This window comes from Homo sapiens, chromosome 2, assembly GCF_000001405.40.
Source record: "Homo sapiens chromosome 2, GRCh38.p14 Primary Assembly".
Taxonomy (NCBI): domain Eukaryota; kingdom Metazoa; phylum Chordata; class Mammalia; order Primates; family Hominidae; genus Homo; species Homo sapiens.
Window position 1 is genome coordinate 132,933,094 of NC_000002.12, and position 20,369 is coordinate 132,953,462.

Consider the following 20,369-nt stretch of genomic DNA (forward strand, 5'->3'; position numbering starts at 1 on the left):
TTTTTGTATTTTTAGTAGAGACGGGGTTTCACCGTGTTAGCCAGGATGGTCTCGATCTTCTGACCTCATGATCTGCCCGCTGCGGCCTCCCAAAGTGCTGGGATTATCCTCTACTTCTAACTCTCAACCACGAGCTGAAACACCCTCACTTTTTCTATATTTTGCCACACTTCAGTTATACACAACCATGGTTTGCACTATAAATATATGGTACCTCTCTGTCTCTCCCATTAGACCATGAGTGAGGGTAGAGGAACTGGGTCTCATTCATTGATCTGTTCCTAGTTCCTAGCACGGTGTCTAACATATGGGAACTGCTCAGTGAATGGGAAATGGAATTAAATATATCTATTAGTTTGCTCTAGAGATCCAAATTTCAGGTAGGAATCCAAGGGAAATTTTTCCAAGTATGCATAACAATTATCAAACTTTGTGTTTCTCACGGATTGTTGATAACTGCCTTTAATTGTATTTAAAGATAGGTAGTATTCTTTTGAAATGTCAGAAAAGGCAATGGCAAAAAGCCTTCAATTTGGCTGTGATCCCAATTAAAATTCTTCAACCCAAAAGAAATAGCTTTGATCTGATCAAAATGTATGAGTTTCTTTTTTTGTCACCATAATTTAAAGACAGAAAAATGGTATTTAGGATTTACATATACATGTGGAGGCCAACCTCATTATGATGATTGTACTGAGAAGCCAGGAAGTTCTGAATCATAAATGTATTTTCAGAAAAGAATTGTATTTTCAGAGGGGGAAAAAAAAGAGCTACAACAATAGCTCTAATTTAACTGGAGATGTTCACTACACAATCCCCGAAGAGCAGGATAAATTGTCGAGAGCATCAGCAGACTGTCTATTCATTTGGCATATTAGCATGAAAGGGGGCTTTTTGCCCAGTGGAGCCCAACCTCTTCTCTACAGGATCTTGCTTTTGAGATCTTTGAAACAAGTATTTCAAATACAGCATACTGAGATTTGCTCTAATCTTAACTATGGCATTAGAAAAGTCATTATAACTTTATGCATAAGTTGTTGGTGTATGGCCAAGTCAGAAATCTTGCCCTGAGGACCAACATCTACATAATAAGAGAAAATAGATACGTGTGCAGCCAATTATTAGATACCTCTGGTGATGGCAACTAGAAACTACGTGAAGTCATGGATAATTCAACATAATAACAATCACTATATGGAAAAATGTTCCTGGCTCATGCCTGTAATCCCAGCAATTTTGGAGATCCAGGCAGGTGGATCACTTGAGGTCAGGAGTTTGAGACCAGCCTGGCCAGCAGGGTGAAACCCCATCTCTACTAAAAATACAAAAACTAGCCTGACTTAGTGGCGGGTACCTGTAATCCCAGCTACTGGGGAGGCTGAGGCACGAGAATTGCTTGAACCTGGAGGTGGAGGTTGCAGTGAGTAGAGATCACGTCATTGCACTCCAGCTTGGGTGAGAGAGTGAGACTCTGTCTCGAACAAAGAAAATTTTGTAAAAAAGTAAACGATGACCCCACACTAAAACTATGAAAATCAAAGTTAAAGAAAAAAAACCTTTTAAATCAATTTATTTTACCTTAATTTATTAAAACATGTACATTTGTTAGACATTTATGAAAGACCTATTTGGTGCCAGACAAGGGTGATCATCTCTAAGACTCATAAACAAGAAGTTGTAAATGTTACCTAATGTGATGTGCCATCTCTAATGCCCTCTGGAACCCATTTGAGTGTGGAGAACTCTGTGGCTGTCTACACAACATCCATTTCACCTCTTGTATGTGAATATATAAAAGTCATAGGATTGGTCACTACTGATTCCCTCTTCACAGGTAGCTGCCCTAATTTGTCTTATCTAATTAAGGTTATGTTATCCCCTTTGTCAAAGTGATTGGGAAATATATCCCAGGGATAAACCAATCAGTACATGGCTTTTTTCCCAGCTACAAGAGATTGGTTCAGGGAAGAGTATTTAATTGATTTTAGGTCCATGAAGGTATCTGGGAAGTGAAGGCTCCCTGGGAGCTTTTGTAAAGGATAGTTCTGCATTTCTCAGGAACTCATGTGAGAAATTTCTTGGGTGATATGTTAAGTAGATTTGTAGATTGGATTGATGACAGCCATTTATCCACCTTGAAACAAGCCATCTTAAGAATGATGTTAACTCATGGAAAGAGAAAAGCCAAGAAAACTACACAGAAAGATGGAGCCTGAGCCTTCACCAAATTGCAGCACAAGCTCAACCTATGTCTAGACTTCTCTGAACATACGGCAGCTTGAGCCGAGTTTTTGTTACCGGCAGCCAGGGCATCTTAATTATTATAACTGTAACAGGAACTGTGGCATCAGAGCTGATTTCTGAAAGGAAAATAGGATTTAGACAGGTGAATGGTAGGTATGGGAATTGAGAGAGCCCTTTCTGGGACAGGAAATTATGGGAGCAAAAGCAAAGGGGTAGGAAAACACACGGTATGTTCAGGGGCGAGTCTATCACACCGGATGAGAGGTGGAAGGTGAAGCTGACAGTAGGTTGGGGGTGGTGGGGGACTTTACTGACCCTTCTGGAAAACTAACTAGTGGTGGAATGGGAGTTGGAGCAGAGGAGGAGAAGCAGATACAGGTGGTTGTTACCATCATCTGGGCCAGTGCTCACAAGGACCCTTGCTCACACCTTGGCAGTGAAGATGGAGTAGAGAGGATGAGTTCAAAGGCCATGCCAATGACAAGCTACACATGATGTGGTGTCGCACTTCATGAGAAGCAAAGAGAGTAAGAAATGGACTATGAAGTTTAAGTCTGGGGACATCTGGTAAAGGCTGGTGCCGTTAATCAGGAATGATAATTCAGGCAAAAGAGTTAAACTACCTTAAATAATATTTTTTTTCTTTTTTTTTTTTTTTCCTTGAGACAGAGTCCCGCTCTGTCGCCCAGGCTGGAGTGCAGTGGTGCGATCTCAGCTCACTGTAACGTCTGCCTCCCAGATGCAAATGGCTCTCCTGCCTCAGCCTCCCAAGTAACTGGGATTACAGGCGCTCGCCACCATGCCCGGCTAATTTTTGTGTTTTTAGCAGAGATGGGGTTTCACCATGTTGGCCAGGCTGGTCAGGAACTCCTGACCTGAAGTGATCTGCCCGCCTTGGCTTCCCAAAATGCTGAGATTACAGGCATGAGCCACTGCACCCAGACTGGAATATTTTCTATATAATTTCTTTAAAAAGTCATAGAAACAACCTAAATCCAAACTAACAAGGAGCTGAATGACTGGATAAATTATGGTACATTTCCTGAATGAGTGAAATACTCTGTAGTGAGACATTAACATTTTCCCATGTGTGACTCACTTGTCTGATAATATTTCCATGCCAGACACACCCCCATAATAAAGGTTCCTCACTCCATGTGGCTGCACAAGGGGGTGGGTTACACGTTTATTTTTCAACACCATCTCTTTCTTTCTCCACCACAAATAGGTCCCTTGGCACTACACAGTTGAAAACTATTGTTTGGGAGGATGTCAAGAAAAATTCTTTAGACTTGGAGAAAAATATAACCAAAAGAAACTGTTATCTGAGTATTGAAAATTTAGAAGACTACATACACATGGAAAAAAAAGATACACACAAATGTGCTTACAGTAATTACTTCTGAGTGGTAGGATCTAGAGTATTTTTTTCTTTTACTTTTTTATAGTTTCTATTTACTTTCTAAAATGCATATGTATCAACTTTATAATTTTACAAGGACATCAATTATATTGGGTTCTTCAGAAGCAGATAATGAAATGAGGGTTTGTGTGAAAATGATTTATGAGGCAGGGAATAATTTTTACCAGCTTCCTCATTTGTTTAATAGTGATGATGTGAAAAAGAAACCAGTGAGTGAGTAGGGAAGTGAGAATCATCAAGGGAAGAGCCCCAGCAAAGGTGTCCTATTAAGCAAAGTCCCACTGAGGGTAACTTGAGATCAACTTCTGCTGACCTATAGAAGCTGGGGAATTTACTGGCCCTCCTCTAGTCAGTCACTATTAGAGAGCTGCCCCCATAAATACGTCAATGCCCAGGAACTTCTGGTTCTTCTTGCAGGTAGGAAAATGTGGGGACAGAGAGGCTGCCCAAAGAGACACAGGTGCTGGCTGCTAGGAGTAGGCATGGGCATGGTAAAGGGATCTGAGGGAATATGCACGGAACAACGACCGCATTTGCTGGAGATGCTTACAAAATCTTACTGCTGTAATTAATAAATATGGAAACCTCTGTTTACTAACTGTGTTCATTCATATTAAAAACATTTACTTAAAAGAAAGAGGACTAAATAGTAATACATTGTTGGCCAGCACTTCTTACTGGGAAAGGAGATTTGAAGAGTCTTACTTTTGTAAACGCTTTCCTAAGTGCTACCTGCACCTTAAATGTCACACCTTATATTGCTTTATGTTCTCAGAGTTCACATTCTAAAACTCATACGTTAGGAATTAGGACCAGTGGATAGAAAAACTTGATGACCCCTGGGGACACCAAATGTTGATTGCTGCTTGTTGTTACAGAGGCAAGACAACTGAAGTTTGGGGAGAAAAATCTCCCTTCCTGACAGCAACATGCCAGACCATTAAGAACTTTTGCAAAAATCAATATTGGTCTGAATTATTCAACTGGTGTGCAACAGGATATAGTGGAATGTAAACTATTGGGCTTCCACCAAAGATTTGTGGCTGGCATCCACTATAAATACACAAAGTAACTACTCTCTAGGGAGGAAAACAGCGAGAGGAGCAGGAAATGCCAGGTTTCAGAAAATTAGCCAACCAAGTTCACCCAGCATAAATGCTGATGCACTGCCATATTTGCTAATATAAAGGGTGGACCCTCTGATACATTACATGTTGAGAAGATCCTCAGCTTCTTGCCATGTTTCAACGTGGACTAAACAAAGCTATTCTATCCTCTGAGCTTTTAAGCTCCCTTTTCAATAAATAAATCACAAACTAAACATTTTGAAAGTCATCTCTTTCTCCTGTCCCTGAGAGTCCAGTCATAGGTCTACACAGATGGCTGTCAAGGTGGTATGATTTGAGGTGTGCTGGGAAAGTCCTGTTTGTCCCCAAATATCTCCCCTCTATTGGCCTGTCAGTCATGAGGAATCAATCAAGATAGGGCATTTCAGGAATCAGAGGATACAGTAGAGAACAAAGGTTCTGACCCTGGTGGAATTTATGAACAGATTTCAGGAGTCCTGGTTTCCCAAAAATTATTTGAGAAATACCATGTGTATACACATGAGTGCATTTCCAGGTTAGAGAATCCAGGGCTTTCATGGTATTTTCAGAGTAATCCATGACCCATGAATGGTTAAGGATCTCAGGACTGAGTCAGGAGATCTGGTTCTCTATGCCTGTCTGGCTACTGGCTGGCCATGTCATCTCAGACCGAGACTCTCCCTGCACTTGCTTCAGATTCCTGCATTTTTGAAGACTGCCTGGTTAAAGTCTTGGTGCTCCACCATGTCTCTGTGTGTAAAGGGCCCCCTTTCCAAGACTGCTGAGGAAAATGGCCAAATGCTTCTTTTGTACCTGCTTCCTATGGATCCCCCTCAGCTCAGGGAATAGTAATACTTTAAGACAGCATTACTGGAGAAAGGTAGAGGAAAGGGGAATAACAGAGAATGTTAGAGAAAGAAGGGGGAGAGAGGTGAGAAAGAGGGAGAGAGAAATGCCTCTCACTGATATAGGGGTGTCTGTGAGGCAAAGTCAAAACACCATTGACAAAGGTGGTCTTAGGATCAGTCCCTTGCCCCAGCCCCCGCCCATTCATTCCCTCTCACTTCCAAGTACAGCTGCAACATTCAAATGTTTGAAAATTCATTTTTTAGAGGTTTTCAATTGAACAAGGACAGGAGGAGAGGAATTACTTATGCGTGTATATTCATGTTTAGTTTTTACTTTTTAAATTATGAAACCATCGTGTCTTCCAACAAGTAATAAAGTACAAGGGAATAATTTTTTACTGGCTTCCTCATTTGTTTAATAGTGATGATATGAAAAAAAATGACCTTTTAAAAACACTTAAACGGTTAACTTTTGATCTCAAGTCTTCTCCCCACAGCTTAATTTATTAAAACTAAACACATCTTGACATTATAAATTAGGAAAGTTGAGAGGGCAGTACACTATAATTAGAAGCCTGGGCCAGGCATTCTACAGAACAGATAACTACAACTATTACAAGCCAGCTTACTGAAAATTTTATTGGATGTCATTCATGCACAAGTAATGAATGAAGAACCACCACTCATGGAGGGGCTGATAATACGATGGGTAGGGTGGGTAGAAGAGGGAAAATCTTTCTGGCCCCTCTCTGCATTCTAGCCTCCGGGCTTGAGACTCACCACCAACACTGCTTATAAACATGAAAGGGATTCTGTTTGTTCAAGTGCTGTAAGACCTATTTTTTTTTACATTAGTTAAATTTTTATTTGTATTTTATTTTTTCTCAGTTTTTTTATTTCAATAGATTTTGGGGTACAAGTGGTTTTTGGTTACATGGATAAGTTCTTTAGTGGCGATTTCTGAGAGTTCAGTGTACCCATCACCCAAGCAGTGTACATTGTACTCAATATTGTAGTTTTTGGCTGAGCATGGTGGCTCACACCTGTAATCCCAGCACTTTGGGAGATTAAGGTGGGTGGATCACTTGAGGCCAGGAGTTCAAGACCAGCCTGGTCAACATGGTGAAATCCTGTCTCTACTAAAAATACAAAAATTAGCTGGGTGTGGTGGTGGGTGCCTGTAACTCTAGCTACTCAGGAGGCTGAGGCAGGAGAATCACTTGAACCTGGGAAGCAGAGGTTTCAGTGAGCTGAGATTGCACCACTGCACTCCAGCCTGGGTGGAGTGAGATGCTGTCTAAAAATATGTATATATACATAGTAGTCTTTTATCCCTCACCCGCATCCCAACCTTACCTTCTGAGTTCCCAAAGTCCATTATATCATTCTTATGCCTTTGCATCCTCATAGCTTAGCTCCCACTTACAAGTGAGAATATATGATATTTGGTTTTCTATTGTTGAGTTACTTCAGTTAGAATAATGGCCTCCAGTTCCATGCAAGTTGCAGCAAAAGACATTATTTTGTTCATAAGGGCCTATTTTTATTCACTATGCAACTAATGTACCAGGCATAATCCCACAGGATTACTTAAGAGCTCATAATGGGCTTGAGACTAGAGATGGTCCTCAAGACAGAGTCCATTTCTGGTCACCCTTCAGGGCTCAGGGAACACTGGGCCCTAGCTGTGATCAAATTTGGTCATCACTGCTGCACTCTAAGACTTTCATGGGGTATTTACACTTAAAACATACCAAATAGAAAGACATGGGGTTATGACCTGTAAATCCTTGTAGTTGGTTAAATCTATTCTAAGAGCAAAAAGTAATATAGAAACTGAATAACAGTAAAAAAAATAACTAGCAACAAGCTAAATGTTCAATAATAGGGTAGTAAAATGACTTATGATTGACAGGATATTATGCAGCCATTGAAATGACGGTAGGAATCATTGTAGGTATCATTGTGGTAGGTACTTATGATGAAATGTTAAATTTTAAAAAGTAGTAAAAACTTATTTATTCTTTTTCAAAGATCTGGGTCTCTAATCATGCCACAAGATTATAATTAAGAAAAAAAGAAAAATATCCCATAAAGAAAAAAAAAAGTTAACATTTTGCCATGGAAGAGAGGTGTTAAGAAGTGATACTTTTCTTCTTCTTTTTCATTTATTTGATAATTATATTATCAATTATATTACACTTGTCTTACTTTTATACTGATACATATATTTATAATTAAAAGAAACATTAATATTACATTCACATATTAATTAAAATTTTAAAATATTTTCTCCTACATTAATTCATTTGCTACATAAAGGAAAAGTAAGAAAACTAAAAGTCAAGTTGCTAGATTTGGAAACTAGAGACAGTGAGTGAAAGTTGGCCAAGTCCCCACAACTGTCAGAAACAGAGCAAATCCTCAAAGACAGGGTTGTTAATACCCAGTCTAGAGCTCTTTAGCCTCCAAATCAAAAGGCTATTTCTGGCAGAAAAACAATTACATCTACTAGAGAATGTATTCAGGGAAAGAAACATCTTCTGTTATTGTACTGGACCTCTGCTGTTTGTACCTATCCATTCCAGCACTATCAGCATCTCCCTGTGACTTCCTTTGGTGGACCACTCTTCCCACATTCATGGTCCATTCATACAGTTTTAGGCAGTGCCTACCCTATGTCCCAAGGCCATGGTTATGCAATGGCCCATGCTGGACAATCAGTGTAGTCCAACCAGTTTCAAGCTTATCCAATGAGAGTGAGCCCTGGGATGTTGGCTGGAATGACATTCTTTCCACTGGGGCGGCAGAACTGGCAACACAGAAATCTGGTGTTCCTAGGTGACCCTTTTTACTATCTGGAGAGATCCTGCCTGAGAATAAGATAAACCAGGGAGAAGCACAGCTAAGAATAAGGTAAGATGATTCCTGGTCTCATGGCCTGAAACCTGGGTCTAGCAATTCCTGAGACTTGATAACACTGGATGTTACATTTTCATGAGTCGACAAATTCCGTTATCTCCTTTTAAGGCAATTTGAGGTAATTTTTATTACTTGCAATCAAAATACTCCTGACTCATATTTCTGCCATTTCCCAGCAAAGTGTATACAAACATTTTCTGGTTAAAAAAATAATTATTGATGAAAGAAACCATTGTAGTTCTATATCATGTAGTCACAATTGCCTGTGTTCATTCATCACTGTTGTGATCTATGTCATATTCTTCCCTCGGGCAAAAATATTTTAGCATCTTACAAGATGCTAAATAAAGGGGCAAATATGAAATGAAGCAATTACAACTATTTGTTTTGTCTCAAATGGGTGTGTTATAGTTCCTAATTAATTTTGGTAAGTCAACAAATAACTTTATATATGTTCATTCACATTTGACAATCTGAATATGTATGATGCTTAAAAATAAGTTTTGATAAACATATCTTAATTGACAGAGCAGAAAAGGAGGTTTCTTAACTTGCCATCTATATCCAATCTGGATTTAGACTTTTCAATAAACATTAAACATGAAAACATTTTTATTAGCGGTAATTATACATAATTTAGATAAGTGATTCTGAAACTTTAGTATGCATCAGAATCACCTGGAAAACTTGTTAAAAAAATTTATTGCTGGCCACTGCTCACTCTCTCTCCAGGTCTCTGATTCTGTGGGGCTGAGGTTGGGCCTGAGACTCTGCATTTCTGACAAGTTCCCAGGTGATGTCGACACTACTGGTCTAGCAACCACAGTTCAAGAATCACTGATTTAGACTTTGTTTTTAAGTTTTGCATTTTGCTGTAATTTTTATTTGGTGTAAACTGTAATATATATTTTATGTCTCCGATTAAAAACATGAGCCCACGTTTTCTGAGATGCCGATATAATTTAGACCTGAAAATTCTGGACACAAAGATAATGATGTGCTTTAAAGGTGGATGGGAAACAACAGAGTTAAAGTAATTTGGGCAAAACCTTGATTAAAATAATTCATTATGGAATCCAATCAACCTTAATTTCCAACAGATGACATGACCACTCAGGTATTCCGCTACATCAAGCAAAATTCAGGCTCAAATGTTCTCCTGCTGCACTGATTAGCAAAGTTCACCAGGCCAAAGTAATCAAGTATACCACAAATTCCTAGGTGCCTTTTTATCTCTGCCTAACACAATGCAACTAAGTGGTCTCTGTCTGCCAACGGGAGTAACTCTTAGGAAGAGCAACGAAACAGTTTGCTAAAACCTGGTTAGTCTGCAGGAAGTCATTAAAATGATAGAATAATTCAGGAATCTGATGATCTCCAAGTACAATGCCTTGTCATTTTGTGATTATTTGATAATTCCAATCCACTTCATTCAAGTAAGAGGTTCTGGGACTTTAAAATCAAGTAGGGTCTGAACCTACCAGGGTCTGAACTGAGTTTTACAATGTTAAAGCACAACATCTTACTGTCTTCCTCTGGACATACCCAAATGGGTTTTCTCTGTTGGTAAACAATGACATTTCTCCCTATCTTTCCATTCAAGGCTTAACCACTAATGAAGTAAGAATCTCTCATATTTTAACAACTAAGATTAGATTATGACAGAAACTTCATTAAAAGTCACATGTAAAATATCCTCTTTGATTGCATATCAATTTGAATATAGTCCATTTTAACATACCTTGTCAAAAGAAGAATATACATTAAATGTAAAAATGTGCCAATGTTAGCTGCAAGGCTAGTAAATCACCAGTTGGCAATAAGGATATTTATTTCTGTATAGTGAGGAAGTGTGATAACATAGATGCAAAGAGCTGAGAGAAAGCTTACAATCTGCCCAAACCCCTCTTTACACACAGGAAGGAAATAAGCTCAGAAAAGAGGAATATTTTATCAAAGGAGTTCACTTGGCTGTAAAAATGATGTTGCCGGTCATAAAGTTTTTCATTTTCCCAGTGGAGAGAGTCACCTTTTCAACACATCTGCAGCAGACTCAGAGCAGGGTGGACAGCACAGATGTTGCCAACAGCTTCAGGTTCCAGAAAGGCCCTGAGAGCCAGAAGACACCGATGACAATGGAATCCACCCAACCAGGTAAAACTTAACTGAAGTCAACATGCTGCCCTGTGATCAAATCAGAAACAACTGTGTAAGAACAAGGCGGGTGAAAAGACCTTACCAATGAGAGTTCAGAAACTGCAGACATGAGTACGTAGCCTCCTGGGGCTGGGTGAAGTGTGACCGCACACTTGGTCTGCTTTAAGAGTTGTGCAGCATGTGTAGAGGGGACAGAGGAATGAGAGTTTGCTCTGCTCTTCACTGCTCAGATGGGAACTTGAGTTGTGTTTGGCCAGATGCCACACTCATAAGGCATATGGAGAAATGAGGTCATTCAGGGAGATGGATCTGAATGGTGCAGGGACTTGAACCGTGTCTTATAACGCAAGAGCAGGAAAAACAGTGGTTATCTAGCCCAAAGAAGAAATGTTTTGGGGGCAGGGGGAATATGGGAGTTATCCCTGGGTGAGACAAGTTGTCAGGGAAAGAGGGATTCAATTGTTCTACATGGCCTTAGGAGGCAGATCTAGCACTCATGGATAGAATTAGTGGGAGACAGGCTGGAGAGAAACACAGAGAAGTAATTCTAAAAATGAGAGATATTCAAAGTGAATGACAGCTAAATACAATTTTATCTAACATTTTTATTGAGTCCTTATTTTGTGCCAATTTCTGTGTTAAGGACCTTAAAATTGTCATCTCATTTCATCCTTCCAACAACCGTGTTAGGTACATTACCATACTGATTTAAATATAGAGCAATGACAGCTGGAAGAGCTTGAGTAACTTGTCCAAGGCCACATAGCTGGTTAGCGCAGTAGCCTGGATTAGAACTCAGCTATCTGCTAAGCTTCTCGACCTCACCACGATGTTGCTATGGGCTACTTTGGGAAGTAGGGAGTTTCCTGTCACTAGGGTGTCCAATGTGGGCAAACATGGTCTTGTAATACTTTAATATTCTCTTCCAGTAGGAAGAAACTACTGTTCTATGCTTTGTCCTGAAAGAGCGACATTTTGAGCACGTAGAGCTATCTTTATATAAATAAGAGAAAATGACTCTAAGGACATTGTGAACATGTCATAGGATTTTCTCTTGGCCCAACCCCAGCCAAGAAGTCACTGCTTTCCTGGAACCAAGAGGATAAATGAGGGACTGTGGGCAAAGGGAAGACCTTACCCAGGCAGCAGAGATGGGTTCAGGAGTTAGAGAGGCTCTTTGGATTCCAGAGGCAAAGCCATAGGATAATCACCTATGGATATGATGGAGAAGGCCTTGTGCTCTGGGTCCCACAACAGAGAAAAGACTTCTAGGGAGCTTTGATTAAAACTGGCCCCAAGCGGGTTGAGTTGGCCAAGACACTCCACTGGGGAAAGGCTGTGCTGCTGGTCCTCAGGGGACAGGAGAAGGGAACTCTTGGATGACACACTCCCTACACCCAGATAAGTTCCTGGGGAATTATGGTCCTAGTAAAGGAGCTACCTGAAATTTCTTTCCATAGTCCCACTTACATCAACAAATACTGGGGGATCCCACCTGCTAAGGTGAGGCGGGGGCAGGGGTGGGGTGGGGAAATGATCATAAGCACAGTCAGGGGTTTCTCCAACTCCTTTGCTTGGAAGGAAGACAGGACAGATGAACAAGGGGATGTGGCCACAGTGGCAGCAACGAAATCATCTAGTTAGCTGAAAGGAGGATCTCTGTGCCCTTGGGAATCGATGGAAGTCATATCCCAACAGCTGGATGCGTGATAAGACACTAAGAGCCCACAGCACGAATCGATGGAAGTCATATCCTATCAGCTGGATGCGTGATAAGACACTAAGAGCCCACAGCACCCAGTGTCAACATCCTTAATGGGTCACTTCTCTTACAAACTGGGGGAAAAATTACCTCAATTTTACCTAGAGATAATAACCCTTAAGATTTTGCTATTCACTCTAAGAAGAAAAAGAAGTGCCTCTTATTGTACCACACCCCATGCTAGATGTTCAAAAGATGTTACTTTTTATTTAATCCATTTGCATATGTATTATTGCTTCCATCTTTTAGATGTGAGATTGAAACCCAGAAGTACATCCCCAAACTTAGTGAGAGGACCAGGAGTTGAACCCAGGGCTGAAGGATTCAAACTCTTTACTCATTTCTACCATGCTGCCTCAGTATTACGAAAATGTCAAAACACTAAGGTGATGTCCAGCATCAAAACAGTAAGCTCTCTCTACTTCTTCTGGCTATAATTGGTAAAGGCAAGTCCCATTTTCCTTTGTCAGGAAATTCATATTCGTGTGATATTTATCACAAGAGATTTGCATTTTAATACAGAACTCTTGGACAGGGAGGTGGATGTAGCTAAACATAGAGGAAATAAGTGAAATGGAAGAATTATAGATGATGTCAGAATCAGAAAGGAGGGGAAGGGAGGTTGGCCATGTGATCCCCCCTCAGGTTGCCTGGTAATCAATTTCCAAGTCTGCTGCAGCAAAAGCGTCAGGAGATGAGGTTCCATAAGATATTCTTTGAGAAAGAGGCTGTCCTCTGGTAGAGCCAATATGAGTGACCTTCTAAGGCACCCAGAGGAAAACAGGCAATTGATACTGTATCTAGAGCCATCTTTAGGGTGAAGATCCAGATTCAATTCAGTGGTAATGAGTAATGACAATGTTTTGCTGGTCTTTGGAATTTATAAACCTATAGGTGACAGCGGCCCTCAAAAAACTATTTATCTTTCTAATAGCGTTGACTATACTCTCACTGCCCCTACATGTCCCAAAAACATCTTAATTTCTCTGTTGAAAAGCTGACAAGGAAATGAAAACTTAACAAAAAAAGTGAACTCCACTTCATGAATGTTTTATCACCTTCATAAGTTTATATATGGGTTGGGTGCTGTGGCTCACACCGGTAATCCTAGTACTTTGGGAAGCCGAGGGGGGTGGATCACTTGAGCTCAGAAGTTCAAGGCCAGCCTAGGCAACATGACGAAACCCTGTCTCTATAAAAAAATACAACAATTCGCTAGGTGTGGTGGCTTGTGCCTGTAGTCCCAGCTACTCAAGAGGCTGAGGTGAGAGGATCACTTGAGCCTGGGAGGTGGAAGTTGCAGTGAGCCGAGATGGCGCCACCGCACTCCAGCCTGAGCAACAGAGCTAGACCTTGTCTCAAAATAAAAAAGTTTGTATATGAAGCCAAATTATTACAGGATGTATTTTTGAAAAGTGAGAGTTATAAAACATTAGATCAAAATGGATGAAAAAAGTTGTGGTGTTTCTTAAACATACATATAAAAAATTCAGTCTCACAGGGATATGTCATTTCTATTTAGAGGATCAGGGTTGTTTTGAATAGTTTCTTATTTGTCATATGCTCAATGTGCATTCAAATACAGGTGGCAATCCTTGAAGAAAATTAAACATGCTGTGACTTATAAATCAAATAGGAGGACTATAAGAACGATAAACTTTCAGGTTGTTAATATGAAAATTTTTTGAAAAGTTTTTATTTTGGGTACTAAAAAAAGTTAAGAAGACATCCTGTAGATTAGTTAACTCTTCATAAAGGTCATTAAATGGCTTTGAATAGTATAGCTGATTTAAAAATAAGATATGCTAATTTATGTACTGATAGAGTAAATGGAAACTAGCAATAAAGTAAAATAAGTGAGTCTATCCTGGGCTTTGTCACTTCTTGGTTTATCAGTATTAATAATAAAGTGTAATTTTAAAATAAAGTGATTCCTTCAGCAGATAGTACACAATTCCCTGCAGCTAAAGAATGGAAAAGAGATTAATTCCATGACAATTATCTTGGCTTATCATCCCTTTAGCAGGGCCCCTCTGCTTGTTTTAAACCTTTCTATTTGTATGTGAAATCTACTGCCTGGGAAATTAAAACAAATGTTACAATTCAACCCAGCGAGCTCTGTCCAATAGGAATTCAAGGTGAAATGTGGCTCACTGTCTCAGCCCTCCAGGAGCCCACCGTAGAGAGGACACTTGTTTTCTTTTAAAGCTTAATTCCCAGATATGGGAAATGAAGAATTCACAAGATTTCACTTCGGGAGATTTCACGATAGAGCATTCCTTTGCTGGTTTCATTGTCACCTGCCCCAGGTAACTCATGAAGTCTTATGAGAATTGCCTCTTATTCTTCGGGAAGGATTACTATATACCTTCTGCTATGAAATTAACCCCAGTGCTGAGATACACAAACTTACTACCCAAACTCAACTCACCCTGACCTGAGATGAATGGGGGATTGCGAAGTCTTTCTCTGAACCAACTTCTCAGCATCCTCACAGATGCCTCTTGGATGCTCAAGGGAATACAGGGAAGAGAGGGGAACTGTGAAAAGTTTCTGTGGGCAGACTTAGATAACAATAAACGGTAATGATGACAGTTTTTTTTATCTAGCCAAAATAGATCCCACTTCATTTACTATTTTCTATCGATGTACCCTTTCTCTGTACTCTTCCTGGTGCAGTGGTACAAGCGGGGCTTCAAGGGAAAAGTGGGCCCCTTTATGAATGGCTGGTTAGGGGGGGAAGCTTGGCTATATGTGGATTTGCAGCTCATTGCAACGTGATTCATCTCAGTTGGTTATGTGCAGAGAACAGCTGGCAGCAGGTACCCAACTAGTTGCAGAGAGAAGTTAAAAGGGACTGTTGCCTGCTGAGAGTGCAGAGGAATTGCTTTAAGGACTCCCTGAAGCACAGCCTGCAGCGAGCGAAGGGGCACAGGCAGGGAGGCAGAGAACCAGCAGCGGCTGACAGGCAGTTAGAGAAAACAGAAATCGGCCATTCAGAGCAAAGGTTTGGGGCCCTAATTTGAGTCCAAAAGGTGGAATGGCAAATGGTAACAAGCTCTTGGAGAGCCCCAAAGGAGAGGCTGTATGAAAGAAATAGCACCACCCTCCAAGCCCCTTAATTCAATGCCAGAGATGAAATGCACCAGTACAGAAGGAAATCTTGGCCAATGGGAACAAGGCCTCGTGGAAGCCCCGGCTTCTGAGATGACTACAGAGCCAGGTACAGCGCTCCACCCCTTCTCTTGCCTTTTCCCCACACCTCCACTTTGGCAGGTAGGTAGCAGCCCATGGACACAAGTAAATCAGGTCTAAAGCCTAAAACACCAAAAGATTAATACATGGTGTTTGGCTGATTCACTATGACTGATTTGTTCTGTGGAAGGAAAGAAAAATTCAAGTAAATTCAAAGAGGCCTGTGAACTTTTGGTACAGTAACTCAGAAGCAACAAAGATCCAGAGAAATGAAAAGAAAAGAAAAGAAAAGAAAAGAAAAGAAAAGAAAAGAAAAGAAACATGGTGAGGAAGAAGGACAAGACCCACCCCCCACCCTGCCCCATCCAGGGATAAGAAGAAGCAAAGAAGCTGGTGAACTGGTGAGGCCTGGGGGCCAGTGATGAAGGAAATCATCCAGAAGCCTAGGAATAAAATGTCATTTAGGTCTCACAGTCTGCAATGAACACGTCCTTATTTCCGTATTCTGAGGCTTTGACATCTGGGACCTTGCTGACTCTGGAGGGGCAGTCCCTTCAAGGTTGGCCAATTGCTAGAGACAGTGAACAACTCACTCGTGAGCAAATTTTGCAAATGCAAGCCAACCCAGAGCCCACACCACCTCCAACCAGCTCTCTCTCACTCTCACATGAAGGGCCCCTGTGCCCCAGAGCCTGCTGAAATCATTCAAACTGCCAACTCTAGACCTGTTCTCCCTGCCTTGCTTGCTGCTCCTTCCCACAGAAACCACAGTAAGGATTCCTGCCTGCAGTTTCCCCTCTGCCCCTTCCTCTGTCTCCAGACAGACCCTGAGCTTCACCTTGAAGCCCCCTCAGGGCATGGCATCCCCCTCCTTCTGAAACCTGTGAGAATAAGAACTATCTTTTCAGTAGCCCTCATCTCCTAAGCTACTGGCTTTGCCATACCTACATAAAGTAAAAGCTATATTTAAAAACATGGCTCCCAAACCATGTGTCGCTAAAAAAAAAGTCCATTCTGATACCTCATTGAAAACTGTCATTTTGTAACAGGTGAACATGGAATAAATACATTAACGTTTAGGCTGGGCGCAGTCACTCATGCCTGTAATCCCAGCACTTTGGGAGGCCATGGCGGACAGATCACTTGAGGTCAGGAGTTCGACACCAGCCTGGCTAACATAGTGAAACTCCATCTCTACCAAAAATACAAAAATTAGCCAGGCATAGTGGTGGGCACCTGTAATCCCATCTACTCGAGAGGCTGAGGCAGGAGAATCGCTGGAAACTGAGAGATGGAGGTTGCAGTGAGCCGAGATCATGCCACTGCACTCCAGCCTGGGTGACAGGGTGAAACTCCTTTTCAAAAACAATAAAAAAGAAAAAGAAAAAGAAATTACTTTAGTCTGTTCACTACACCTTTACTCCTAGATTGTATCTTACTAAAAATATTTTTGAAAAAGTCTCCGTTTTAAAATTGTGAACTGAACTAGTTCAAGATCCACATAAGATGATCAGATAAATGTCTTTTTATATTTTTCTCCAAGAAAATATTATCAGTGAATTTACTGAATTTATATCTGGCTGGCATCAAGAGGTTTCAATATTACATAAATGTTATAATATCATTATTATTCTTCAATATATGATTATTAAATCTATTGTAATAATTACATGGCGATGAGCATGGCTTAGATTCCATGTGATGATCCATGAAGCTCTTATACCTTTGCAATGAGGCCCCTGGGATCAGTTTTCAGACACTGAGGATGGGGTAAGGTCATAAATGGGATGTGCATTCAAGAATTTACATTCATCTCAGGAAATACCCCGACACCACTTTTGGGGAAAAAGGAAAAAGGCTGTTTGTTTTCTTATTTGTCTTTCTCTCATAAAACTAGACTGCAGGGAGATTTTTTGGTGATTTGGATTTCCAAGGAACCCATTTTATCATACGAACTTAGAAACACCTGCACATCATATGCTGTTTGCCTGCAGTTGCTTCTCATTTTAAGCTGGAATTACCTACAGAGTTACCTCCCCCAAGCTACTACACTGTATGGGAGGCAGTCTCCTCTAAATGAATTCCTGATCATCTTAGTATTTTATGAGATTACCAAAACCAATTTGACTTGGCCCCAGGAACCTAAGAAGCAAAAAACAAAACAAAGCAAAACAAAACAGAAACAGAAAAAAAAATGATGTCACAGGAAAAGGTATTTTTCCTGTTTCTAAGAAAGGTCTTGTGGATATGATTACAAATGAGACAAAGGTAAGGGAAAAGACTCTATCTTGGGAAAAATGATGCAAAATTTCCAACTGCTCATGTTCCTTGCTCTGTTCTTAAAAATATGTCTTCTTTACTTTGCTGGGTTGAGATGCTGTTCTCTCAAAACAAACCACGGACACGTGTTACAAGCTGTATCTTCTTTAGAAACACAGTCGAACCTGCTTTCTAGAGGAGCCCCTGTCCACCGTGACAGCTGAGCAGCAGCACTTACTGACTCTGAAAGGGAGGCTGAGCCTGCCCTGGGTGTGCTGTAACTAAGGCGTTCCAATTCCAAAGGCAAAAATGCTATTAAGCAGCCAAGGATGTTTAAATCTAGAAAGTTCAATTCATAAATTAAAGATGTATTTCAGATATTTCTGAAACAGGAGTAATTACCAAAACTAAGACTGTAGAGACTCTTACACCATGACAGCTGGTGTTTATAATCTCTCCTCCCACATCCACATCTTAAATCTCTGGTCCTTTATCGGACTTGGGTCACACTGCTTTGGTTATAAAGTAAAACTGCATATTTCCCACTCCCTTTGTAGTGAGGCTCTAGGGTTGGAGCTCATTTGAATGCTAATGAATTAGATCACCCTCAAAAGGTTGCTATCAGAAATCAGACTACGTGGATATTTTACAGCATTTCATAGTTTCAGGGTGATCGTGTTCCTGACTCAGCAAGTCAAGCCAATACCTATATAACAAGGGCATTTTTCTGGACCCCATTCTAGAGCCACAATTTTTCCCCCAAGGCTATGTAACATTTTCTCCTGGCAAACTATTAGAGTTAATAGAATGCTGTGGTTCTGTTCTGGGGACTGCTCATCAATCATACTGCTTTTTGAATCACAACTTGTGTAATTTTTATTCATGACACTTCAGTAAGTTACTTTGAAGCATCACATCTAAAACAACCCAGGGACTCACTAAACAAAAAAACAAACAAACAAGATTTGGGGTTTTGTTTTCCACTTCTACTCATGATATACTAGGCTTTAACTTACTTTGTAGAGTAAGGATTAAAATGCTTAATTGGCTATAACTAAGCAAACTGAATCCTTTAGATGAATCAAGCCAGCCAGCTTTCAGTTTCTGACATCAAAATTTATGCTCTGTGAAAAAAAACAAGGCCATGGCTACATAACATTAAACCAACACACAATTAACAACACTTTGTTCTAATTATCTCTGGGAACATTTAATGTTGCCCCTATAGTTCATTTTTCTTCTTTGATAGCTCTTAGAATATTTATGGAGATTAGTCCTTGATGCATTGGCCTTCTCTGAGATCTGGGGTTTTCTTAGAAGCTCCCACACAAATCTGAGCCATGCAAAGTAACATATTTATGCAGATTAATTCTTGACATATTGGCTTTTTCTATCATCTAAGGTATTTCTAATAAGCTTCTACCTAAATCTGGCCCTGGCAATGCAGGGCAGTCACAGACCCCCCCCACTCCTTGGCTTACCTCACACTAAGAATGTTTTTTTCTTTCTCTCAGCAGTTGGTCATAACTGATAAAAGGTTATGTCTTGATTGAACAAGCTTCCAGGAGTTGGAAGGCCAAAAGGGCTGCTGTAAAACAGCAATGGAGATGCTAATAAAACCCAAGGTAAGAGGAATCTTCGGCTGCCTATTACTGAGAAACCTAAATTGCAGACAAGTTCAGCTTCCTCACATCAATAGTGAGAGACAGGCCACAAGAAAACGAGCACTGATCAAAGGCTTTTGATGATGGTAGAACTTCAATTTATGGAATGCACGTATTTTTCTACACTCCAAAGGCGTTTCTTCTGAAGTCACTGGGGGCATTCACTTTAAAGTCATAAATATTCTCTCCATAGCTCAGGATGGTTTGCAGCGCCACTTGGCGTGTTTGTTTGGGCATGTGATTTGATGCTCTACAGATGGATTGAAGCACCACGAGGAGCTTCACTGTGGAAAGTGAAGGGGCTATTAGTTAAGAACACCTCTAAACTGATTAGAGGCTTGCTGAGGCAACTGCATGAGTTTTAAACATAGATGTTGTTAGCTCTTCATACTGATGTGTTGGATAGATAGGTAGTTCCATGTACTACCTATCTATCCAAAGAGTGTGAACAAGCTAAGTAACCAACAGTGAGGATTAAATAAATGGCACTTGCACATATAAACAGGCCGAGCCACTTGGCCTCATCTCTGGCCATAGGTGCCCTGGCCCTTGACAGGCCCATGTTCTGAGGGCTCCTTGAGGCTGTTTCAGGCTTTTCTGCTTTTGTCTAGGCAATTCCCTCTGCTCTTCATTTTACCATCTTTGCCTGGAGAACTGGCATAAAGCCTCAAAGACTCACAGTTCAAGTGCAACTTCTTTATCTCTTTGCTTCCTCCAAAACTAATTCAGTTAGATACTTCTGTCTTGGTGCTCCACTGAGCCTTGTACACACCTTACATTTTTCTAAAATTTTAATGTGCTTTATTT

The 20,369-nt window shown here is 40.5% G+C and overlaps 1 protein-coding gene and 1 long non-coding RNA gene across 21 annotated transcripts in view; one reads left to right on the plus strand and one right to left on the minus strand.

Moving 5' to 3' along the window:
• NCKAP5 (NCK associated protein 5) overlaps positions 1 to 20,369 on the minus strand; it is a 1,003,049-nt gene that overhangs the window by 261,306 nt on the left and 721,374 nt on the right. The gene's annotated exons all lie outside the window — the stretch shown is intronic.
• On the plus strand, positions 12,774 to 19,494 carry LOC112268439 (uncharacterized). Its single transcript, XR_002959479.2, has 2 exons — positions 12,774 to 12,851; positions 19,413 to 19,494. It is a non-coding gene; the product is annotated as an uncharacterized LOC112268439 (long non-coding RNA).